The following is a 26,133-nucleotide window of genomic DNA, read 5'->3' on the forward strand; positions in this document are numbered from 1 at the left end:
TTTTAAAAAATTTAGGCAACCCAGGAAGGAAGGAAAGTTCCTTAATATGGTTAATAATATTTAAAACAAAACAAAACACCAGCAAAAATTTTGCATAATGGAGAATTATTGAAAACTTTCCCTATCACCCTTCTACTCAATTTTGTATTAATAGTTCGGCAGTAACTATTAAAGCTGAACGTACATCTACTTCATGATGTATGGGGAAACCCTGCAGTGATGCATCCCTAAGTGCACGAAAAGACATGTAGTAGAATGTAATGTGAGTTCTAGCCAGTGCAGTAAGTCAAGAGGAAAGAGATTCCTAAGGATCTGAAAGGAAAAAACAAAACTGACCTTATTCATATAAGATATAAGGATGTGCATAGGAAGGAAGCAATTCCAACTAATAAGACAACTCAGCAAGATCACTGGATTCAAGGTCAATATACGAAAACCAATTGTTTTTTTCAGATACCAGCAACAGATAGAAAATACAGTTAAAATTATATCCACAGCAGCACTATCCTTAAGAGCCCACTGAAGACTACAACGATCAAGAGGAAAGATAAAATGTGCTGCATACACAGTGTAGAATGTGCAACGCTGATAATGAATAAAGGGCAACTATAAACAACATAGGTGAATCTCACACATAGCATCTCCAGTGAAAGAGGTCAAACACAGAATTGTACGTATGGTATGATTCCATCTGCATAAAGCTCAAAAATCAGCAGAATTAGTCTATGTGTTAGAAGTCAAGATAATGGGTACCTTTGTGGGAGGGGGTTGTGCCAGCTTTGTTTGTTAACGTTTTGTTTCTTGATGTGGGTGCTGGTTATGTGGGTGTGTTCATTTGATGATAATTAAGCCGTACATTTATTTAGAACATGTGACGTTCTATGCATATTTATTATACTTTAATTAAAAGTTCTTAAAATTGTATTTAAATTCAGATTTTCCCCAGGCAGAAGTCACAGACCTGAGCAGGATCGGGCTGCAGGGGCGAGGAGAGGCCGCCCTCTCTGGGTTCAGCGCTTCACCTGACCTTGGCCTCCCGGAGCAGAGGGCTGCTGGGGACAGTGTCATTTGGGTAGAGTTTCCGAGAGGACCCAGGAGTGGTCCATTCTCTCGATGGAGACCCATTTGGGAGGAAGAATCTGAGAATCCTTGAGAATTGTGTTCAAAACGTTGGGTATATGAGAGCGCGTGCTTTCCAGGGGAAGAGCCCACGGTTTTCACCCTATGGACAGCCCCCGAATCCCTAAGCTTTTGTATTTTTGAGACGTTTAGGAGCTGCTGGGCTAGATGAGGGTCCAGGGGTCAGAAACCTGCGTATAGCAACTCACCTGGGAACCCCCGCGGATCTCTCTCTGGGTTGTAAAGCGGCCAGACTAGTGCGCTCCGAAGCTGCTCAGGCTCCGGGGTGCTGCCCCCTTCCCCGAAGTGCAGCCTTGCAGACCCCGGGGCTGGGAAGGGGGCGGGAGAGAGGCTTGCATCTTGCAGCCCTCCGGTCCCACGGAGGGCACAAGCTGCTCGCTGGCTGCCCCAAGGGAGGAGTGCGAGGAGTGGCGAGGGCTATCAGCCCTGGTGGGCGAACCTTTCCCAAGAGGCGCTGCTTGCTCCGGCGGGGTAAAGCCGGACGAGGCGCGAGAGTGGGGTGGGTGACGCGCGCCAGCCACGGAGAATGAGGCTCGCTATCTGCGCCCTGCTGTGCGCCGGGGCCCTGAGTAAGTGAGCGCTGGGAGTCGAGGTGGGGGCCGGCGCTGCAAGGTGCTCCGGGGAGGCACTGGGTGCAAGCAGCGGGTCGGTCACAGCGGGACCCTGCGCGACAACCGGACAGTCAGCGGGCCTGCGGGGCTGCGATGCACCCCTGAAAGTGCTTTCTCCACGCCGGCGCACCTGACACTTAGGTCCTCGCAGAAACCCCATTGACTAGGGAGAGGATTGCAGACTATGACTAGCTGGCCAAATCCTGTCTGCGGCTTGATGTTGTATACACCCAGATGAGAGAATGCTTTTCACATCTTTAAATGGTTGAAAGGGAAAGGCCAGACGCGGTGGCTCAGGTCTGTAATCCCGACACTTTGGGAGGCCGAGGCGGTGTATCACCTGATGTCAGGAGTTCCACACCAGCCTGGCCAACATGATGAAACCCCGTCTCTACTAAAAATACAAAAATTAGCCGGGTGTGGTGGCGGGAGACTGTAGTCCCAGCTACTCCGGAGGCTGAGGCATGAGAATCTCTTGAACCCAGGAGAGGGAGGTTGCAGTGAGCCGAGATCACGCCACTGCATTCCAGCCTGGCCGACAGAGTGAGACTCTGTCAAAAAAAAAAAAAAAAAAAAAAAAGATTGAGGGGGAAATCAAAAGAGCAATATATGTGACATGAAAATTATATAAAATTCAAATTTCAGTGTCCATAAATAAAATTTTATTAGAATGCAATCATGATCATTCGGTTAAATATTGTCTATATGACAGCTTTCAGGCTTGTCCAAGTCAAATATCCCTAAGTTTAAAACATTTTATTTGGGAAGCAAGAATTGAAATTCTGAGCATACACACAGACTGGGTGGTCTTCTATATGTCCAAAGGACAAAGAGAAGATTGGAGGTTTCATAGAAAGGAGAAATGTTCTTCTAGAAAGTTCATTGGCAAAAGTAAAATTTTGGGGAACTGGCAGATCCTGACTAGTGAGGGACTATAACAGGTAAAATTAGCCTTCGAGTCACAGCAGGTTTCAGCAGCTGTTAACTACACCTGGTCTCAGTTTACAACAGGCAGTTTCAGCAGCCAGGCTTGCGAAGAATTTCACATGTGGAGCAGTGCTATGTGCCCTGAGTGCTTTTTTGCCCCTGACTTCTCACTGTGTTTTAGTTGGGTATGACAAAAATAACCCACTTCTGTATGATCAACTTTCACAGGCTTCAAGGTCAGAGTTGAGGAGTTGCCACAGAGACTAAAGTATTTACTCTTTAGCCCGTGACAGAATAAGTTCATGACCCCTGAACTAGAGGCTGTTGATCTCGTTTACAGTGAAAGAAATGGGGTTAGAGGAGAGAAGGGATTTTTTCCCCCTGGGGCTTAAGGGTTATTATTAAGTGAGGGGGAGGAGCAGGCAGGACACATGTCAGGTGTGCCTAACATCTAACCAGAAGGGTTTTTCTCGCCTCAAACTGGACAGTGCTTCCAGTACTTTTACCATACAACAGAGAGGTAGAGAGATATAGGGGAAAAAACTATCACCATAGAATGAGATCCACCTGTCACTCACTGCTGTGTGACTCTGAGCTCTCCCTTGACATCTCTGAGCTGGTTTCATTCACTAATAATTGCGTTTTCACAACAAACACAATTGCTGTGAAAATGAGATACTGTATCTAGTGGCATGCAGAGCTCTAGGCACAGGTGAGTTACACCGGTAAAAATCTGCACATAAATGCAAGGGGCCCCTTCCTGTTTTGCGAGGGTGGGCTCCTCCAGGGCTCTTGGCGGGGTGATTTGAGGAAGGGAGTGATGCGAAGTCAATGAACTCATGCATGTGAAGAGCCCTCCCTGGCTCAGCAACTGTTGGTTCTGTCCAGCCCTGGTTCTGTCACGTCTGAGGCTGTTGTAAATAATTTCTGGGGTAGGGTATCTTATGTGGGGTGAGGGGTGAAGGGCAGAGCAAGAGGAAGGCAGGAAGGGAAGGGGATGCTGTGGTGGCCCCTCCCTGGCTCAGCACGGCCACGTGGGGCCACACAGGGAGCTCTGCTGGGGCTAGGGAAGGCTGGAAGGCAGAGCACAGTTGTAGTTGAACTGCAGTCACAAGGAAACCCAGAGTGCAGCCCCGCTGGGATCGTTCCTAAATTCTTCTTGAGTAGGGCTTCTGCTATTCTTCCTCTGTCTCTCGTCCTGGCAATGTCAGGCTCTGACCAAAAGTTCATTTACCCAATTCACCCTGTGTTTATAAACCAGAGACAAGAGCTGCCCATTTCAGCCTCCTCATTCATCTTCCCTCCTTCTTGGCTGCTGGACCAGGCCAGAGTCTGGGATACGCTTTCTTCAAAGCTCAGTGTTCTAGTCAAACAAGAACTATTCTGGTGGCAAATGACAGAAAATGCAAAGTAGCTTGAATAAAAAAGACCAAAGGGAAGGGGGCAGTTATTGGTATGCCCTGTAAGAGCCAGGAGCCAAGGGCTCAGACAGCCTGTACCTCCACCTTGGCCTCCACCTCCTTTCTCAGCTTCTTGCCCTTGCTTAAGAACTTTCTCTATTCGGTGAGCATCAGCAGCTTTCCCGTTTCAGGATCAGTCTGAAATATTCACAGTGGGCTCTGATTACCTCTGCTTTAAATTGTCATATGGCCAGTGCTTTTAGTGAGTGACCTAGTCTAGGTTACTTGACTCTGGCTTAGCTTGCTTGCCCACACTTTCTCTTTCTTTTAAAAATCATTTATTGGCCGGGCACGGTGGCTCACGCCTGCAATCCTCGCACTTTGGGAAGCCGAGGTGGGTGGATCACGAGGTCAGGAGTTCAAGACCAGCCTGGCCAAGATGGTGAAACCGTGTCTCTACTAAAAATACAAAAATTAGTCAGGCGTGGTGGTGGGCGCCTGCGATCCCAGCTACTCGGGAGGCTGAGGCAGGAGAATCGCTTGAACCCGGGAGGCGGAGGTTTCAGTTGAGTCAAGATTGCGCCACTGCACTCCAGCCTGGGCAACAGAGCAAGACTCTGTCTCAAAAACAAAAAACAATAAACAAAACACAACAACAAAAATCATTTCTTTTTTTTTCTTTTTTATAGAGACAGGATCTGTCTCTGTCACCTAGGCTGGAGTGCAGTGGTGTGATCATAGCTCACTGCAACCCCAAACACCTAGGCTCAAGCGATCCTCCTATCTCACCCTCCTCAGTAGCTGGGACTACAGGTGTGCATCACCATGCCCAGCTAATTTAAAAAAAAAATTTTTTTATTATAATACTTTAAGTTCTGGGATACAAGTGCGGAACATGCAGGTTTGTTACATAGGTATACACATGCCATGGTGGTTTGCTGCACCCATCAACCCGTCATCTACATTAGGTTTTTCTCCTAATGCTATCCCTCCCCTAGTCTCCCACCTCCCAACAGGCTCCGGTGTGTGCTCTTCCCCTCCCTGTGTCCATGCATTCTCATTGTTCAACTCCCATTTATGAGTGAGAACATGTGGTATTTGGTTTTCTGTTCCTGTGTTATTTTGCTGAGAATGATGGTTTCCAGCTTCATCTATGTCCCTGCAAAGAACATGAACTCATCCTTTTTTATGGGTGCATAGTATTCCATGGTATATATGTGCCACATTTTCTTAATCCAGTCTATCATTGATGGGCATTTGGGTTGGTTCCTAGTCTTTGCTCTTGTGAATAGTGCTGCAATAAATATACGTGTGCATGTGTCTTTATAGTAGAATGATTTACATTCCTTTGGGTATATACCCAGTAATGGGATTGCTGAGTCAAATGGTATTTCTGGTTCTAGAACCTTGAGGAATCACCACACTGTCTTCCACAATGGCTGAACTAACTGACACTCCCACCAACAGTGTAAAAGCATTCCTATTTTTCCACATCCTCTCCAGCATCTGTTGTTTCCTGACTTTTTAATTATTGCCGTTCTAACTGGCGTGAGGTGGTATCTCGTTGTGGTTTTGATTTGCATTTCTCTAATGACCAGTGATGTTGAGCTTTTTTTCTTAAGTTTGTTGGCCGCATAAATGTCTTCTTTTAAGAAGTGTCTGTTCATATCCTTTGCCCACTTTTTGATGGGGTTGTTTGCTTTTTCTTGTAAATTTGTTTAAGTTCCTTGTAGATTCTGGATATTAGCCCTTTGTCAGATGGATAGGTTGCAAAAATTTTCTCCTATTCTGTAGGTTGCCTGTTCACTCTGATGATAGTTTCCTTTGGCCCAGCTATTTTTTGTTTTGTTTTGTTTTGTTTTGTTTTGTTTTGTTTTGAGATGAAATCTCACTCTGTTACCCAGGCTGGAGTGCAGTGACATGATCTTGGCTCACTGCAACCTCCACCTCCCGGGTTCAAGCGATTCTCCTGCTTCAGCCTCCTGAGTAGCTGGGATTACAGGTGGGCACCACCACACCTGGCTAATTTTTGTGTTTTTAGTAGAGATGGGGTTTCACCATGTTGGTCAGGCTGGTCTCGATCTCCTGACCTCATGATCCACCCGCCTCAGCCTCCCAAAGTGTTGGGATTACAGACATGAGCCACCACACCCGGCCAGCCCAGCTAACTTTTAATTTTTTAAATTTTTATAGAGATGGAGTCTCACCATCTTGCCCAGGCTAGTCTCAAACTCCTGGGCTGAAGTGATTCTTCTGCCTCAGCCTCCCAAAGTGTTGGGATTATAGGTGGTAGCCACTGCACCTGGCCTTTAAGTCATTTTTATTGATGTATGATTTACCTGTAGTATAATACTATGCACTCAGTTAAAGTATACATATAGTTCAGTGAATCTTCGCAAATATAACTATCCACGTAATTATCACCAAGATAAATGACATTTTCATCACCCGCAAAATGCCCCCAGTCATTCCTACTTTCTGCCACTATAGATAAGTTTCGTCTTTTCTAGGATTTCACCTAAGTGGAATCATACAGTATATTGTGCTTTGTTTGGCTTTTTTTTTTTTTTTTTTTTTTTTACTCAGCATAATTGTATTGAGATTCATCCATGTTCTTGTGTGTAGCATGCTTCATTGCTTTTTATTATTGGGTAGTACTCTATTGAATGGCTTTACCACAGCTTATTCACCCATTCACTTGTTGATGGATGTTTAGATTGTCTCCCATTTGGGGCTATTATGAATAAAGCTGCATGAACATTAGTGGACAAGTCTTTGGGAGGACATGTATTTTCATTTCTTTTGGTTAAATATCTAGAATTACTGGGTCATACTGGTAAGTGTATGTTCAACTTGACTTTGAGTAGTTGTGCCATTTTACATTCCCACCAGCAGCATATAAGAATTTCAGCTGCACCATGTCCTGCCAGTGCTTGGTGGTGTCAGTCTTTTCACAGTTAGCCATTCTAATAGGTATGCATTCTAATAGGTATGTAGTGAAATCAATCTCTATGTGATTTTAATTACATTTCTCTGGGGACTCATGATGTGAGGATCTTTCATGTTCTTATTGGCCATTCCTGTATCCATATATAGTCTTTTATGATGTTTCTATGTGAAATTTTTCTCCATTTTTTTTAAATGATGGGAGGCTTCCTGGCTTTTACTCACACTTTTTTTTCTTTTTCTTTTTTTTCTTTCTTTTTTGGAGTTATAGGTTCTCCCTCTGTTGCCCAGGCTGGAGAGCAGTGGCACAATCATGGCTCACTGCAGTCTCGACCTCCTGGACTCAAGAGATCCTCCCACCTCAGCCTCCTGAGTAGTTGGAACTACAGGCACATGCCACCACACCTAACTAATTTTGTATTTTTTGTAGAGACAAGTCTCACTATGTTGCCCAGGCTGGTCTCAGACTCCCTGGGCTCAAACAATCCTTCAGCCTCAACCTCCCTAGCAGCTGGGATTGTAGGCACACAGTATGGCATCCAGCTACTCTCCACCTTTTATTTCTTTTCTTTTCTTTTTTTTTTTTTGACATAAGTACAGTGGTGACTGAAAATGCTGACTTCTAAAAAAGGCCTTATCTTGACATTCCACACAAAGGCACATGGCCTGCATAATTCTACTCCCTTGGTTGTGCTTCTTACCCTGTCTTGCTACTACTGAAGATGTTTTCAAGTAAATTTGAAGGGCTCTATTTGTCCCTTTCATCACTGGCATGGGATTCTGTGTAAGGTAATTTGGCATCTTCTGTACTATTTCTTTTAATATTTCCTACCTATAGACAGTTAAAAGGCAGTATAGGTTTCGGAGTCAAACAGACCCAGATGGTTCAAATATTAAGCTGAACTCCAGTTATTTAATTCCCTGACAGTTTTTTTAAAAAATCTCATCTCTAAAACAGGGTATGATAATAACTGTGAAAATTAGAGGAAAGAAACGTGCTTGGCACACTGCCTGACATATGGGGGCTCAGCCAAAAATGGTAGCTGTTATTATTGTAAACTTCACCTTCTAGAGTTCATTTAAATAACGTTTTGCCTAAATACTACAGATTTGTAAACAGCATTTTGCCTTTCTAGTGCTCTCTACACTAATTATTGCAGCTTCCAATGCCAGTGAACTAAAGTCACTGATTTTAATGCCCCCACAATTAGTACCATGTAAGCTTTGAGTCACCGAAGTTAAGATACTGACTAGGATCTGAGGTTCCAAGATGGCCAAATAGGAACAGCTCCAGTCTACAGCTCCCAGCGTGAGCTACGCAGAAGACAGGTGATTTCTGCATTTCCAACTGAGGTACCAGGTTCATCTCACTGGGTCTTGTTGGACAGTGGGTGCAGGACAGTCGGTGCAGCCCACGGAGCATGACCCGAAGCAGGGTGAGACATCACCTCACCTGGGAAGTGCAAGGGGTTGGGGAATTCCTTTTCCTAGCCAAGGGAAGCCGTGACAGACGGCACCTGGAAAATCGGGTCACTCCCACCCTAATACTGAGCTTTTCCAAAGGTCTTAGCAAACGGCACACCAGGAGATTATATCCCACACATGGCTCAGAGGGTCCTACACCCATGGAGCCTCGCTCATTGCTAGCACAACAGTCTGAGATTGAACTGCAAGGCAGCAGTGAGGCTGGGGGAGGGGCGCCCCTCATTGCTGAGGCTTGAGTAGGTAAACAAAGTGGCCCAGAAGCTCGAACTGGGTGAAGCCCACTGCAGCTCAAGGAGGCCTGCCTGCCTCTGTAGACTCCACCTCTGGGGGCAGGGCACAGCTGAACAAAAGACAAAAGAAACTTCTGCAGACTTAAACATCCCTGTCTGACAGCTTTGAAGAGAGTAGTGGTTCTCCCAGCATGGAGTTTGAGATCTGAGAATGGACAGACTGCCTCCTCAAGTGGGTCCCTGACCCCCGAGTAGCCTAACTGGGAGGCACCTCCCAGTAGGGGCTGACTGACACCTCATATGGCCAGGTGCCCATCTGAGACGAAGCTTCCAGAGGAATGATCAGGCAGCAACATTTGCCGTTCTGCAATATTTGCTGTTCTGCAGGCTCCATTGGTGATACCCAGGCAAACAGGGTCTGGAGTGGACCTCCAGCAAACTCCAATGGACCTGCAGCTGAGGGTCCTGACTGTTAGAAGGAAAATTACCAAACAGAAAAGACATCAACACCAAAACCCCATCTGTACGTCACCATCATCAAAGACCAAAGGTAGATAAAACCACAAAGATGGAGAGAAACCAGAGCAGAAAAGCTGAAAATTCTAAAAATCAGAGCACCCTTTCTCCTCCAAAGGAATGCAGCTCCCCACCAGCAACGGAATAAAGCTGGACAGAGAATGACTTTGACGAGTTGAGAGAAGAAGGCTTCAGACAATCGGTAATAATAAACTTCTCCGAGCTAAAGAAGGATGTTCAAACCCATTGCAAAGAAGCTAAAAACCTTGAAAAAAGGTTAGATGAATGGCTAACTAGAATAAACAGCATAGAGAAGACCTTAAATGACCTGATGGAGCTGAAAACCATGGCACGAGAACTACGTGACGCATGCACAAGCTTCAGTAGCCAATTCGATCAAGTGGAAGAAAGAGTATCAGTGATTGAAGATCAAATGAATGAAATGAAGTGAGAACAGAAGTTTAGAGAAAAAAGAGTAAAAAGAAACGAACAAAGCCTCCAAGAAATATGGGACTATGTGAAAAGACAAAATCTACGTCTGATTGGTGTACCTGAAAGTGACGGGGAGTGGAACCAAGTTGGAAAACACTCTTCAGGATATTATTCAGGAGAACTTCCCCAACCTAGCAAGGCAGGCCAACATTCAAATTCAGGAAATACAGAGAATGCCACAAAGATACTCCTCAAGAAAAGCATCTCCAAGACACATAATTGTCAGATTCAAGTTGAAATGAGGGAAAAAATGTTGAGGGCAGCCAGAGAGAAAGGTTGGGTTACCCACAAAGGGAAGCTCATCAGGCTAACAGCTGATCTCGCGGCAGAAACTCTACAAGCCAAAAGAGAGTGGGGGCCAATATTCAACATTTTTAAAGAAAAGAATTTTCAACCCAGAATTTCATATCCAGCCAAACTAAGGTTCCTAAGTGAAGGAGAAATAAAATCCTTTACAGACAAGCAAATGCTGAGAGCTTTTGTCAACATCAGGCCTGCCTTACAAGAGCTCCTGAAGGAAGCACTAAACATGGAAAGGAAAAACCGGTACCAGCCACTGCAAAAACATGCCAAATTGTAAAGACCATCAAAGCTAGGAAGAAACTGCATCAACTAACGAGCAAAATAACCAGCTAACATCATAATGACAGGATCAAATTCACACATAACAATATGAACCTTAAATGTAAATGGGCTAAATGCTCCAATTAAAAGACACAGACTGGCAAATTGGATGAGTCAAGACCCATCAGTGTGCTGTATTCAGAAGACCCATCTCACATGCAGAGACACACATAGGCTTAAAATAAAGGGCTGGAGGAAGATCTACCAAGCAAATGGGAAACAAAAAAAAAGCAGTGGTTGCAATCCTAGTCTCTGATAAAACAGACTTTAAACCAACAAAGATCAGAAGAGACAAAGAAGGCCGTTACATAATGGTAAAGGGATCAATTTAACAAGAAGAGCTAACTATCCTAAATATATACACACCCAATACAGGAGCACCCAGATTCGTAAAGCAAATCCTTAGAGACCTACAAAGAGACTTAGACTCCCACACAATAATAATGGGAGACTTTAACACCCCCCTGTCAACATTAGACAGATCAACGAGACAGAAAGTTAACAAGGATATCCAGGACTTGAACTCAGCTCTGCACCAAGCAGACCTAATAGACATCTACAGAACTCTCCACCCCAAATCAACAGAATATACATTCTTCTCAGCACCACATCGCTCTTATTCCAAAATTGACCACATAGTTGGAAGTAAAGCTCTACTCAGCAAATGTAAAAGAACAGAGATTATAACAAACTATCTCTCAGACCACAGTGCAATCAAACTAGAACTCAGGATTAAGAAACTCACTCAAAACTGCTCAACTACATGGAAACAGAACAACCTGCTCCTGAATGACTACTGGGTACATAATGAAATGAAGGCAGAAATAAAGATGTTCTTTGAAACCAATGAGAACAAAGACACAATATATCAGAATCTCTGGGACCCATTTAAAGCAGTGTGTAGAGGGAAATTTGTAGCACGAAATGCCCACAAGAGAAGGCAGGAAAGCTCTAAAATTGACACCCTAACATCACAATTAAAAGAACTAGAGAAGCAAGAGCAAACGCATTCAAAAGCTAGCAGAAGGCAAGAAATAACTAAGATCAGAGCAGAACTGAAGGAGATAGAGACACAAAAAAACCCTTCAAAAAATCAATGAATCCAGGAGCTGGTTTTTTGAAAAGTTCAACAAAATTGATAGACCACTAGCAAGACTAATAAAGAAAAAAAGAGAGAAGAATCAAATAGATGTAATAAAAAATGATAAAGGGGATATCACCACCAATCCCACAGAAATACAAACTACCATCAGAGAATACTATAAATACCTCTAAACAAATAAACTAGAAAATCTAGAAGAAATGGATAAATTCCTGGACACATACCCCCTCCCAAGACTAAACCAGGAAGAAGTTGAATCCCTGAATAGACCAATAACAGGCTCTGAAATTGAGGCAATAATTAATAGCCTACCAACCAAAAAAAGTCCAGGACCAGACGGATTCACAGCCAAATTCTACCAGAGGTACGAAGAGGAGCTGGTACCATTCCTTCTGTAACTATTCCAATCAATAGAAAAACAGGGAGTCCTCTGTAACTTATTTTATGAGGCCAGCATCATCCTGATACCAAAGCCTGGAAAAGACACAACAAAAAAAGAGAATTTTAGACCAATATCCCTGATGAACATCGATGCAAAAATCCTCAGTAAAATACTGGCAAACCAAATCCAGCAGCACATCAAAAAGCTTATCCACCAGGATCAGGTGGGCTTCATCCCTGGGATGCAAGGCTGGTTCAACGTATGCAAATCAATAAACTAATCCATCATATAAACAGAACCAAAGGCAAAAACCACATGATTATCTCAATAGATGCAGAAAAGGCCTTTGACAAAATTCAACAGCCCTTCATGCTAAAAACTCTCAATAAATTAGGTATTAATGGGACGTATCTCAAAATAATAAGAGCTATCTGTGACAAACCCACAGCCAATATCATACTGAATGGGCAAAAACTAGAAGTATTCCCTTTGAAAACTGGCACAAGACAGGGATGCCCTCTCACCACTCCTATTCAACATAGTGTTGGAAGTTCTGGACAGGGCAATCAGGCAGGAGAAAGAAACAAAGGGTATTCGATTAGGAAAAGAGGAAGTCAAATTCTCCCTGTGGGCAGATGATATGATTGTATATTTAGAAAACCCCATCGTCTCAGCCCAAAATCTCCTTAAGCTGATAAGCAACTTCAGCAAAGTCTCAGGATACAAAATCAATGTGCAAAAATCACAAGCATTCCTATACACCAATAACAGACAAACAGAGAGCCAAATCATGAGTGAACTCCCATTCACAATTGCTTCAAAGAGAATAAAATACCTAGGAACCCAACTTACAAGGGATGTGAAGGACCTCTTCAAGAACTACAAACCACTACTCAATGAAATAAAAGAGGACACAAACAAATGGAAGAACATTCATTGCTCTTGGATAGGAAGAATCAATTTCGTGAAAATGGCCATACTGCCCAAGGTAATTTATAGATTCAATGCTATCCCCATCAAGCTACTAATGACTTGCTTCACAGAATTGGAAAAAACTACTTTAAAGTTCATATGGAACCAAAAAAGCCCATATTGCCAAGACAATCCTAAGCGAAAAGAACAAAGCTGGAGGCATCACGCTACCTGACTTCAAACTATACTACATGGCTACAGTAACCAAAACAGCATGGTACTGGTACCAAAAGAGAGATATAGACCAATGGAAGAGAACAGAGTCCTCAGAAATAATACCACACATCTACAACCATCTGATCTTTGACAAACCTGACAAAAACAAGAAATGGGGAAAGGATTCCCTGTTTAATAAATGGTGCTGCGAAAACTGGGTAGCCATATGTAGAAAGCTGAAACTGGATCCCTTCCTTACACCTTATAAAAACATTAATTCGAGATGGATTAAAGACTTAAATGTTAGACCTAAAACCATAAAAACCCTAGAAGAAAACCTAGGCAATACCATTCAGGACATAGGCATGGGCAAGGACTTCATGTCTAAAACACCAAAAGCAATGGTAACAAAAGCCAACATTGACAAATGGGATCTAATTAAACTAAAGAACTTCTGCACAGCAAAAGAAACTACCATCAGAGTGAACAGGCAGCCTACAGAATGGGAGAAAATTTTTGCAATCTACCCATCTGACAAAGGGCTAATATCCAGATTCTACAAAGAAGTTAAACAAATTTACAAGAAAAAATCAAACAACCCCATCAAAATGTGGGCAGAGGATATGAACAGACACGTCTCAAAAGAAGACATTCATGCAGCCAACAGACACATGAAAAAATGCTTGTCATCACTGGCCATCAGAGAAATGCAAATCAAAACCACAATGAGATACCATCTCACACCAGTTAGAATGGCGATCATTAAAAAGTCAGGAAACAACAGGTGCTGGAGAGGATGTGGAAAAATAGGAATGCTTTTACACTGTTGGTGGGAGTGTCAGTTCAGCCATTGTGGAAGACAGTGTGGCAATTCCTCAAGGATATAGAACTAGAAGTACCATTTTACCCAACCATCCCATTACTGGGTATATACCCAAAGGACTGTAAATCATGCTGCTATAAAGACACATGCACACCTATGTTTATTGTGGCACTATTCACAATAGCAAAGACTTGAAACCAACCCAAATGTCCATCAACAATAGACTGGATTAAGAAAATGTGGCACATATACACCATGGAATACTATGCAGCCATAAAAGAGGATGAGTTTGTGTCCTTTGTAGGGACATGGTTGAAGCTGGAAACCATCATTCTGAGCAAACTATCGCAAGGACGGAAAACCAAACACCACATGTTCTCACTCATAGGTGGGAATTGAACAATGAGAACACTTGGACACAGGATGGGAAACATCACACATTGAGGCCTGTTTTGGAGTGGGGGGAGGGGAGAGGGATAGCATTAGGAGATATACCTAATGTAAATGATGAGTTAGTTGGTGCAGCACACCAACATGGCACATGTATACATATGTAACAAACCTGCACGTTGTGCACATGTACCCTACAACTTAAAGTATAATTTAAAAAAAAAAGATACTGACTAAATCACTAGGCCCTACCTACGAGGGTAGGAAGCTTTCTTTTTTTCTTCCTTTTTGAGATGAGATTCACATAACACAATTTAACCATTCAAAAGTGTACAAATCAGTGGTATTTAGGGCATTGGAAATGTTGTACAACCATCATCTCTATCTAGTTCCAAAACATTTTCACCACCCTAAAAGAAAACCACATACCCATTAAACAGTCAGTACCCATTTTCGTCACCCCCTACCACATGGCAACCACCAATTAATATCCTTCCTGTCTCTATAGATGTACCTAGTCTAGATATTCATATAAATGGAATCATATCATGGGTAGCCTTTTGTGTCTGGCTCCTTTCACTCAAGTTGGAGTTTTCGAGGTTCATTTACACTGCAGCATGTAGCAGTACTTCATTCTTTTCATGACGGAATAATATTCCATCATCTGGCTATTCCCCATTTTGTTCATGCATTCATCTGTTGATGCACATTTGGGCTGTTTCCACTGTTCAGCTATTGTGAATAGTGCTGCTGTGAACATTCGTGTGCATGTGTTTCTTTGAATCCCTGTTGTCAATTCTTTTGGATATATACCTAAAAGTGAAATTGCTGTACTATATGCTAATTCTGTGTTTAACTTTTGGTGGAATCTTTTGGCTTTTTTAGCTGAGGGGTGGGGTAGAATCAAAGAAATGGGCCAGAGAATTCATGTGAGCCAGGCAGCCTATGGAATTTGTGTGTACCCTTCTCAGCTGACCGTTTATCTTGTCTTTAACCTCTTCTGCCAGCACAGAAGAGTGAGTGCTGTGGGTCCCTTACACCTCTGGCCTCTCTCTCCTAGGGCTGTGCCTGGCTGCTCCTGAGAAAACTGGAAGATGGTGTGCCATGTCAGATCACGAGGCCACGAAGTGCACCAGTTTCCGAGACAATATGAAAAAAGTGTTTCCAGCAGATGGTCCCCTTGTCACCTGCGTGGAGAGAGCGTCTTCCCTTGAGTACATTAAAGCCATCACAGTTAAGTCACTGCTGCCTAAAACACAGTGGAAGAAAGCCTATACTTTCGTTTTGTTTTTCTGCACTTGCTGTTGTTTATTGCTTTCTCCCCACAGGAACCAGACCATGCTTTAGAGGAGAAAGAAACAAGCCAAAGATCTGAAAATGCAAGGACTGTGGGTAGAGAAAAATGTAGCTGCTCAACATTCATTGATAGCAAAAATCATAATCCTAATCATAATTAAACAACTAATAGAGAAGGATTCAATCTCAGTAAAATACCTATGTCAAGCAAAGCTAGCATTACATTGAAAGAGAATCTATAAAGACTCAGAAATAAACAAGAATCTCTAGTGTCAGTATTATTACTAAATGTTTTTGGAAGTTATGGTAGTGCAATAAGATAGAAAACGCATATAAGATAGAAGAAACAAACAAAAACACCAATATTTTCAGATGGTGGAATGCCTAGAAAATACAGTAGAATCAAGAGAAATGTTGCTATAATTATTTATTAATGAATACATTAGTTTGGCAAAAGATAAATGTATCACAAAGTCATTTTCATATACCAACAATTGTTAATTGTGAAAAAAATCCCAAAATTGTTATCTCATTTACATTTAAAATAATAAAAAGAAAATTATTTCTGGAAAAATATTATATGAGAGATCTGCAAGGCTTTTACTAGTATAATATAGGCTGGGTGTGGTGGCTCACACCTGTAATCGCAGCACTTTGGGAGGCCAAGACGGGTGGATCACTTGAGGTCAGGCGCTCAAGACCAGCCTGTCCAACATGGTGACACCCCATCTCTAGCCATTTAGAAAAATACAAAAATTAGCCGGGCATGGTGGCACACACCTGTAGTCCCAGCTACTTGGGAGTCTGAGGCAGGAGAACCCAGGAGGCAGAGGTTGCAGTGAGCCAAGATTGTGCCACTACACTCCAGCCTGGGCAACGGAGCGAGACTCTGCGTCAAAATAAATAAATAAATAAAATAACAAATAAATAAATAAAATATAGAAGTCTGTAACAAGTGAATAATATTTATTAACAAATGAAAACATATGCTGTATTTCCAGATGGAAAGACTAAATATCACATACTTGCATACCCTCCCAAAGTTAACTCATAAATTTAGTAAAAGTTTAATCAAAATACAGCCTTTTTAAAAGAATCAATAAAATATTTATAAAATTCTTGAGAAAAAGTACATGCATGAAATTTTAAAGTTGTATTATGAAAAAGAAAAGTAGCAGGGGAGTGGCTGAGTCCTACCTAAAACTATACCATATTTAAATAACAGTGATACACAGGACAGGATACTGGCACATATATAGAAGACCCAGAAGAGAACAAAATTCAGATACATTGTCAGCTTTCTGTATATCCATTCAACTACCTAATTATCTACGTGATATGATATAGATGCAAACTGTGATAGACATTAGGGCACGAGGGTCCTAGGCTTAATAAATTTAGGTAAGATACAAGTAGATTTGTTCTTTAAATCAAATTAAATTGAATTTTTATTTGACAAATAATAATTGTACATATTTATGGGGTAAATGTAGTGTTTTGATACATGTATACTAGATTTAGATAAGTATAATAAGGCAAACTTGCCAAACAAATGGCTGAGAAAGGAGTCTTTAGTTGGACAACTAGGTAGCCATTCAGAAAAATAATCAAGTGAGCTTCTTAATCCATTCACCAAAATAAATTCCCAGCTTGACTCAACTTGATTAAAAGACATAGACATAACTAGATAAATTACAAAAGTAGACAAATTTGGAAATGTAAAAAATTTTAAACCATGACAAAGAAATGTTTTTAAAAAGCCCTAAGCATGCCAAAAAAAAATCACATCAGCTATAACAAAACCACAAACTATATAAAGTTGTCATTTAAACTTATAAGAAATGCTGAAGAATAAAAAAACTATAAACAAGCCATTTGCAGAAAAGACATTACAACTAAGAATATTAACAATAAAGGAAAAATGTTCATCCCTTTTAATAAACAAAGAAATTCAAATAAAACCATTCTAAAAATAACAGTTTATATTTAGTAATGTAATGACATTTCTAAAGTGATAACACTTCTCACTGGTAGGTTTGCAGTGAAATTGGTACGCATTGCTATTGGCATTATAAATCATACATTTCTATATCATTTCTGGAAACCAACTTAGAAATATTCAGTAAGGGTCATAAAGATGTGCATAAATTTTCATCTATTTTTGTAATGTGTGTATGTGTATGTGTGTTTATGGGAAGAGAGAGGGAGAGATATGTTAGAGGAGTTTGACCTTATACAGTTGTGGGTGCTAGTTAAGCAGTCTCTATAAGACTGTTGTCTTTTTGCATCTGTTATTGGGGTTTGCAGAGGAGTCAGTCAGGAAAGAAAGATGTATGTAAAGTGGGAAAAGGCAAGAACTACCTGGAGGCCATAATCATGAGCTGGAGCCCACGGGACGGACTGAAACCCATGTCAATTCTCGCTGCTTCTCATCTTGATGGTGTTCACAAGGCCCAGCGGCCTTCTTGCCCTTTTACCTGTATACTAAATCTCTCCTTTTCTTAAGGTTATTTATGTCAGTTTCTGATGCATGCATTTAATTAGAGTCCTAACTTTATACACACACACATAGATACAAATATACATACATATATATGAATATATATTGTAAAATATTTATAAGAAAAAGTGGGATGGAGGAAAAGGGAGGCATACAGAAACATAATAGTAAATTCAGAAAATCTCAAGTTGCTTTAAATGTCAGTCAATAAATGAATAAAAAGAATGATTTCCATGATGGGTAGGGAAATGATCCAACCTCATTGTGGAGAAGAGGCTGTGAAGTTGCTTGCTTCTTGAAGGAAGGAACTTTTGGCTGACAGATCCCTGCCAAGGGAATCCACATTTGAGAGTGCCAAACCTGACTTCTTATGGATGGAAATATTCTACAATGCATTCACTTACGTACCCAAGAAATGTTTATTGAACACCTACCTGTGCTAGGTGCTCCTCTAGGTGCTGGGATTGAGTAGGGAATAGAACAGACAAACATGCCTCCACCTTCATGGAGCTTACATTCCAAAGGGGAGGACAAACAATAAACAGAGTTTGTCACGTGGTTGATAAGGCTCAGAAGGAAAACAAAGTGGCATCCAGCATACACGAGATGGTAGTTTGAAGACTGTGGTCAGGGAATGCCTCACTGAGGAGATGACATTTGAGCAGTGATGTAATGGAGGTGAAGGAGGCTTGAGTCATGCAAGTGTCTATTGAGCAAGTGTCTCTGGCAGAGGGTTAGAGGAGTCTTTCTCAGAAGTGATGGGCATCATGCATGGTTTGATCCCTTCTCTTTCAGGCAAATGAAGCAGATGCTGTGACCATTGATGGAGGTTTAGTGTTTGAGGCAGGCCTGGCCCCCTACAGCCTTAAGCCCATCGTGGTAGAAATCTATGGGTCAAAAGATGGTGTGTTCTCCCTGGGGACTGGTGTCTCTGGTCTGACACTGCAGCAATGATGGGTGTGGGTGGCAGGGGCCCTGTCAGCATTACACTTAGTAGGGAACAAAGTTGCTGGAGCTCTTTGCATTGAAGGAGGCTGTCTCTGATGCTAACTCCTGAGGGCTGGGAAAGTGGCTCTTCCTGGGCGACTGCAAACTTTGCACATTTTGATAGAAACTCCGCTGGTGCTGCTGGCTGTAGGGTATCTCCAGCCTGAGAGGGGAGTGCTATCCAGAGTCCATTGCTCACCCAGTGGGGTCTCACCCATGGGAGGCCCCTCTCTGGAGACACACAGGACCTGACTGCGTCTTCCTTGTGCTAACCCTGCCTGGGCAACAGAACATGGGCCTGGATTTATGGTGAGGAGAGGTTTGGGGGAGTCTAAGAATGAGGCTTTACCTCTTTCCCATACTTGTCCATTAGTGTCATCGTGTCATCAGTGTGTGTGAGCACAGCTGGCCTCAGTCTGACTCTTGCAGGGCCCTGGCATATTCCTGGGACTCCTCTCACACCTTTACTTCGTGTTTGAGCTGCAGGGAGAACTGCTGTTGGGGAAAGGGGGAAAAGGAGAAAAGCCCTCAGGAAGAAGCAGTGACATCACGATGGCTGGGTGCTGAAGCGCTCCCTAAGTGCGCTCCACTCAGTAGGCCCTAATAGCTGGTGCCCTTGAGGATCCTGTCTCCACTGGCTTGGAGGGACTAGCAGAAAAAAGAACTAGTGTTTATTGCCTTGAAAAGGGATGGTGTTCTCTCTCCTGTCAATTAAGGGCTTTTTTTTTCTTTTTCTACCCACTTGCAGGGGGGTGGTGAGGTCCTAGCATCCCCAGAGTTCTGCATGGTACGTGCTCCAGAAGATCAGTGACAATATGGCATCTTCCTTTGGCCCTTATTCCTCTCGGCTCCTTTGCAGATCCACAAACCCACCATTATGTCATTGCCATGGTGAAGAGAGCACCAACTTCCAGCTGAGCCAGCTCCAAGGCAAGAAGTCCTGCCACATGGGCCTGGGCTGGTCTGCTGGATAGAACATCCCCATCAGGACACTGCTTCCCCCTAGCTCCCTTGAAACCGATGAGCCAGCTGGGGCTGGGTGTGCCCAGGCAGGGCTCCTGCACTGGTCACCCGCATGGGCTGTGCTGGAGTCACACTGTCATTGTGAAGTGTATGTGTCCACGGCCTCCAAGATGGAGTGAGGGTAACCTGCTTTAAATATGCACTGGCTGGGTGTGTGCACCAGCAACTCCTGGGAGCTGGCAGCTGAGTCTTCTCTGAGGAAAGGTGTCAGTCCCACCTTCCTCCTTATCCCTAGTCGCTTGGCTTGACAAGGGCCATCACTGAGGCCCTCTAAGAAAAGCCACCTCCCTCCCAGCTTCCCAGAAAGGCTCATTGGGGATTCTAGACACACTATTGGCACCCAGGCCTACATGCCTTAGGTGAGGGCTTGGGACATGGGCAAGGAAAGGGTGACTGGGCTGGCACTAGGATTTTTTGTGTTCTCCAGGCTCCCTGTTCAGTTATGTTGAGGCACAGTAAGGCTAGGGTGATTTTTCAGCCCTTGAATAATGATGGCCAGATCTTTTTGAACTCTGCAAAAGTACATCTTTTTGAGTCCGGCCAACCTCTGCAGTGTTGATGTCTGACTGTGACAGGGACAAGTGACTGCAGGGACCTGAGAAGGGCTACAGCCTGGATCGCAGCTCTGGCCATGCTTTGCCCTTTCTGGGAGTGATCACTTGCCTCAGTGTCAGGTGCTACTGGACACCCATCTGGGCAGCTGTGCAGTGGCTGGTAGCCCACCTCCTACCCCCTCCTCGACAAGCTGTCCCAACTTTTCCAGAAGGCATATCCCATGAACTACCACAGCCTCTGGATACACAAGGGGAGGTTGAGGGGAAGGTGTTTCCTGAGGTAAAGAAGGACTATTTGGGTTTGGCTGATGTGCAAGTGTTCCTGCTGTGTTTAGAGTTCAGCCTGGCCCCTTCCAGCCTCCGTGTGGGTGAATTAGCAGAGCTGCGTGCCACTGGGACTGAAGTCTTAGTTCAGTGTAGGTCAGTGGCTCTCACACCCTGCAGCGGACAAGCTGGGGAACATTCCTGTGGGTTCCATCACCCCATCAGTGTGATGCCTAAACCCGCAGGGACCCTGGGCCACACACTCCCTCCGGCATGGGCATTGCCAGCCACCTCCAGCAGGCTGCACTGGCTGGCCCCTGCACACCCACTTCCTCAGCCAGTCCTGGGAGGTGTGTGCAGATGCATGGGCTCTCAGTGAGGGCCACTCTCTCGCACACATGTACGACCTGGAGGTCCCAGCCAGCTCATGCCCTGGGGTCCATGTCTCTGTGTTGAGCAGCAGCGGCCAAGTTCTTCTCCAGCAGCTGCGTCCCCTGTGAGGACATGAAGAATTTCCCTCGCCTGTGTCAACTGTGTGCAGGGAAAGGGACAGACAAGTGTGCCTGCTCCTCCCAAGAATCGTACTTTGGCTACGCGGGAGCCTTAAGTGAGTGAGACCCCACTGCTCCTCCTCCTCAGCCTGATGTTGGGGAGACAAAGGCACAGAGAGCGAACAGGGCCCACCCCAGGCCACCTAGAGCATCAGTGAGAAATCTGGGGTCCCAGGTGCCTCCCATGGCCAAGCCTTGCTCCTAACCATCCACAGAGCACTCTTCTGTGTGGGAGCCCTGGCCTCCCCAGAGCTTGGGGTTTGCCCATGTTACCCTCCTAGACAAGGGAATGCTAGGGAGACAGACTCATGTCTAGGACTCTGAGATCTACAGACACAGGTCTGGGCTTTTGGCAGGGCCAAAGGTCAGGACCTCCCAGCTCACAACTTTCTGCTGAGCTGCTTCTTGTGCGTACCTCGCCCCATCTCCCTCTCAGCCCCCTTGCAGGCACTTCTGCACACTCCATGCTCCATAAGAGAAATAGCTACTACTCCAAGGCTATCCAAAGTTATTAGTCTCCATGTAAAGGCTTTAAGCCTTTAGTTTTATTTATTTATTTATTTATTTATTTATTTATTTATTATTATTATTATTTTCATTTAAACCTGTTGCTTTTGGCTGCTTTCTAAGAGGAAAATGAGGATCCTTCTTTCCCATCCTGCCTCCTCAGAGTTGTCTGGTTTGGTGACTGCCAGGGCTCCTGGCTGCTTTTGGCCTGGGCTTCGCTGTGGGGTTCAAAGGCCCTTCAGACAAAGCCGTCACCTCTGTGAGGAAAGACTGATACTCAGGAACTCTGGGCAAAGCCCTGTTAGCCAGCAGTCCGGGCTGACCCTCAGAGGGGCTGCATGGGGGAGAAGTGAGGCCTGTGCCTGACTGTGGCTCTCCTGTCATGTGTCTGAAGGATGGTGTGGACCCCACCCTAGCCAGAGGAGCTGGTTCTTTTTTTTTTTTTTTTTTTTTGAGATGGAGTCTCCCTCTGTCACCAGGCTGGAGTGCAGTGGCATGATCTCGGCTTACTGCAACCTCCGCCTCCTGGGTTCAAGCGATTCTCCTGCCTTAGCCTCCCGAGTAGCTGGGACTACAGGCACATGCCACTACACCCAGCTAATTTTTGTATTTTTAGCAGAGAGAGGGTTTCACCATGTTGCCCAGAATGGTCTTGATCTCTTGACCTCGTGATCCACCCACTTTTGTCTCCCAAAGTGCTGGGATTACAGGCGTGAGCCACCATCTCTAGATATAAGTTGCCTTATATCTGATAGAAATTTAATTTGTTATAAGACCCAGAATCTGGAAACTCAAGTTGCCTTATATCTAGAGATGGGTGAAGCTCATTAATGCCACAGGAGAGTTTCTATGTAAGCATTTCTTTTACAGTAATTCCCCCTTATCCACAGTATCACTTTAACACAGTTGGACTTGTGGCCAACCAAGGTGCAAAAATATTACATCACTACTCTTGCACCTTGGGGCCATTACTAAGTAAAATAAGAGTTACTGGAACACAAGCCCTTTGATACCACAGCTGTGGATCTGATCACTGAGAAGGCTACTAAGTAACTAACAGGTAGGTAACGTAGACAGAGTGGATACAGCATTGACAAAGGGAGGATTCACAACCTGGGAGGGACAGAGCAGAACAGTGCGAAATTCTATCACACTATCAGAACAGCAAGCAATGTAACACTTGTGAATTGCTTATTCCTGGCACTTCCCGTTTATGTAGCAGTGCCTTCACAAGAAGGGTGAGTATGGTATAAGAAGATATTTTGAGAGAGAGAGAGGCCATATTCACTTAACTTTTATTACAGCATATTGTTATAATTGTTCAATTTTGGCTGGGCAGAGTGACTCATGCCTGTAATCTCAGCACTTTGGGAGGGTGAGGCAGGAGAATCGCTTAAGCCTCCAACCAGGAGTTGGAGGCTACAGCGAGCTATGATCACGCCACTGCCCTCCAGCCTGGGCGACAGAGCAAGACCCTGTCTCAAAAAAAAAAATGGTTCTTTTTTTATTAATTATTGTTGTTAATCTCTTACTGTGCCTAATTTATAAATCAGACTTTATCATAAGTATGTAGTATAGAAAAAAATACTATATTAGGGTTTGGTACTATCCGTGATTTCCGGCATCCACTGTGGGTCTTAGAACATATCCCCCTTGAATAAGGTGGGACTCTGCTGTATTTGTTCTTTCTTTAGTGCTCAGTTTGATTCATCTATAAATCTACTAAACAAATTTTATGAACATTTAAACAATACTTACCATCTAATAAAACAAGTTGTAATAATCAATTCTCTTAGTCATTGAAATTTCAAATTTAATCACATTCTCCTGAACATTTCATTATAAATGTCTCTCAACTGCTTCAGGCACCTTAAGCAAAACATACAAATTATTGTAAATATTTCAGAACTTATTAGCACATCTGCATTTAAATCTGTTTCAAAAGCATTATTGCCATGGACAAAAGTGTACTTCTTCTTCTTTTTTTTTTTTACATTTATGAAAAAAACCCAAACTTTTTCAGAATTTTGGACAGTTTACCACAAACAAACAAAATATTTCAGACTAATTGAGTTTCCAGATTCTGGGTCTTATAACAAATTAAATTTCTATCAGATACAGAACATTCAAAACATTTGAAATACATGTATATATTCACTGTGCTAAGCTCATTTTTATAATGTCTGCTACTTGAGGAGAATTTTAGATCATCGCTTTTTACATGGGTCCCAGTTCCTTACAACTTAATGTCTTTCCTAACATGAAATTGACTTCAGTGTCCTTTGTTCCCTTGTTCAGTTATTCACAATTCACTGTCTCCTCATTATTACACATTGACTATAATTATTACTCATTATTGCACTGGTTTGTTAGCATTTTGGCAATTGATGCATGTCTTATTATCCACAATTTTAATTAGTGGGGTCACCTATGGGTCTCATCAAATTATTATTATTACACATTGACTACAATTATTACTCATTATTACACTGGTTTGTTAGCATTTTGGCAATTGATGCATGTCTTATTATCCACAATTTTAATTAGTGGGGTCATCTATGGGTCTCATCAAGTTGTTTCAAATAATTATTATGTCCTTTGGATGCTCAGGTTACCACACTTAATGATAGTGGCAGCATCTTCTATCTCCCCCTGAAGTATTTGAAAACATCCTCACTTTATGGAAACGACAGATTGTCCCAGACCATCTTGATTTACCTTTGCCCAAAGTCACTTGTGTGCTATTTTGTAAGATCTCTTCTTGCCTGGTAGGAGAATGTCATGAGACTATGACAATGAGTGGGGGTGGAGAGCCCTGGGCTGCTGCTGCCCCCCTGGGCCTTTGAGTGGCCAAGGTGGAAAAGTGATTTATTTCTGAGGCCATTAGGTCATATTGATTCTCTAAATTTAATTCTAACATTACTAAATCATTTTGAAATTTTTCTTTTAATGTAAAGATTTAAAACGTATTTTCTAGAGAAAATACTAAATTAAAATTGTAACCACTCACAGCAGCCCTGATAACACTCTTTCTCTTTCAGTTTGAGATTTTATCAACCCCAAAGACCATCTGATGCAGGAGAATAGGGATATAGGGTAATCAAGAGTTAAGGCATAAGCAATAGGGCAGCAGGTGTAGTCAGTTAGTTCTAGGCAAGATTAGGCAGCATATAGGCCACATCCTCACTCCTGTGATAACAAGACTGTCTCCACTTCAGCCTCTAATTGGCCATGGGCCAGTCCTTCATAGGGTATAACCAGCTGGAGGCCTCTAAACAGCACCTGGGGTGTTACCAAATTCTTTTTGCTTAATAAAAACCCTAAAGAACACTGTGATCAAGGCTCTTGAGCTGCTCGCTGGAGCCTGCTCCCACTCTGTAGAGTGTACTTTCACTTCAATCAATCTGCACTTTCATTGCTTCTTTCATTGCTTCATTCTGTTGTTGCTTTATTTGTGCATTTTCTTCAATTCTTTGTTCAATGTGCCAAGAACCTGGACAACTCACAGTCAAGACTTTCCATCCAGTAACACATCTGTATTCGTTTTCTAGGACTGCTGTAGCAAAGTACCATGAACTGGGTGGTTTAAGCAACATAAATATCTTGTCTGGTACCTCTGGAGGCTAGAATTCCAAGATCATGATGTTGGCAGGGTTGGGTCCTCCTGAGAGCTGTGAGGAGAATCTGTTCCAGGCCACTGTCCTCGCTTCTGGTGGTTTGCTGCTGATCTTTGGTGTTGCTTGACTCACAGACACATCACTCCAATCTCTGCCTTTATGTTCACATGGCCTGTGTGCATGTCTTCTGTGTCCAAACTCCCCCTTTTCATGAGGACACCAGTCTTTTTGGATTAGGGGTCCACCCTATCCCAGTGTGACCGCATCTTAACTAATTACATTTTCAAGGTCCCTATTTCCAAATAAGGTCACATTCTGAGGTAATGTGGATTAGGACTTCAATATATGAATTTATTGAACCCACAACACTTTTCAATACCTAGACAATGGAATCAAAGAGGCTGTTTTACTCATAGGGTCTTTCTGGTTCATCTTTGTACCTGCAGGTTACCCTGACTGGGCCCCTAGACCTCCTTCCATCTCTCAACCCTCTCACCTTTTCCCAGCAGGCTCTGCATCAAAGGGAATGTGGCCCCTTTAGTGGGGGACCTGGGCCATCTTGGCATGGTAATGCGTCAGCCCCAGACTAGTTACCTTAAGTCTCTGAGTCTCAGTTTCTTCATCTGTAGAATGAGATA

The 26,133-nt window shown here is 43.2% G+C and overlaps 1 protein-coding gene across 1 annotated transcript in view, besides 1 other annotated feature; it reads left to right on the forward strand.

Moving 5' to 3' along the window:
- TF (transferrin) overlaps positions 1–26,133 on the forward strand; it is a 134,644-nt gene that overhangs the window by 10,938 nt on the left and 97,573 nt on the right. The window contains exon 2 of the mRNA NM_001354703.2: positions 15,257–15,429. The gene's annotated coding sequence lies outside the window, so the exon portion shown is untranslated. The remainder of the gene's footprint in view (positions 1–15,256; positions 15,430–26,133) is intronic.
- Positions 1,674–2,204: an enhancer, noted in NCBI's record as "H3K4me1 hESC enhancer chr3:133393453-133393983 (GRCh37/hg19 assembly coordinates)". NCBI's record gives its function as "activates a minimal SCP1, AML or CMV promoter by ChIP-STARR-seq in naive H9 embryonic stem cells {active_cell/tissue: H9 hESC(naive)}" and the evidence as "EXISTENCE:reporter gene assay evidence [ECO:0000049][PMID:30033119]".

The sequence above is a fragment of the Homo sapiens genome, chromosome 3 (genome assembly GCF_000001405.40).
Source record: "Homo sapiens chromosome 3, GRCh38.p14 Primary Assembly".
NCBI classification, from domain to species: Eukaryota; Metazoa; Chordata; class Mammalia; order Primates; family Hominidae; genus Homo; species Homo sapiens.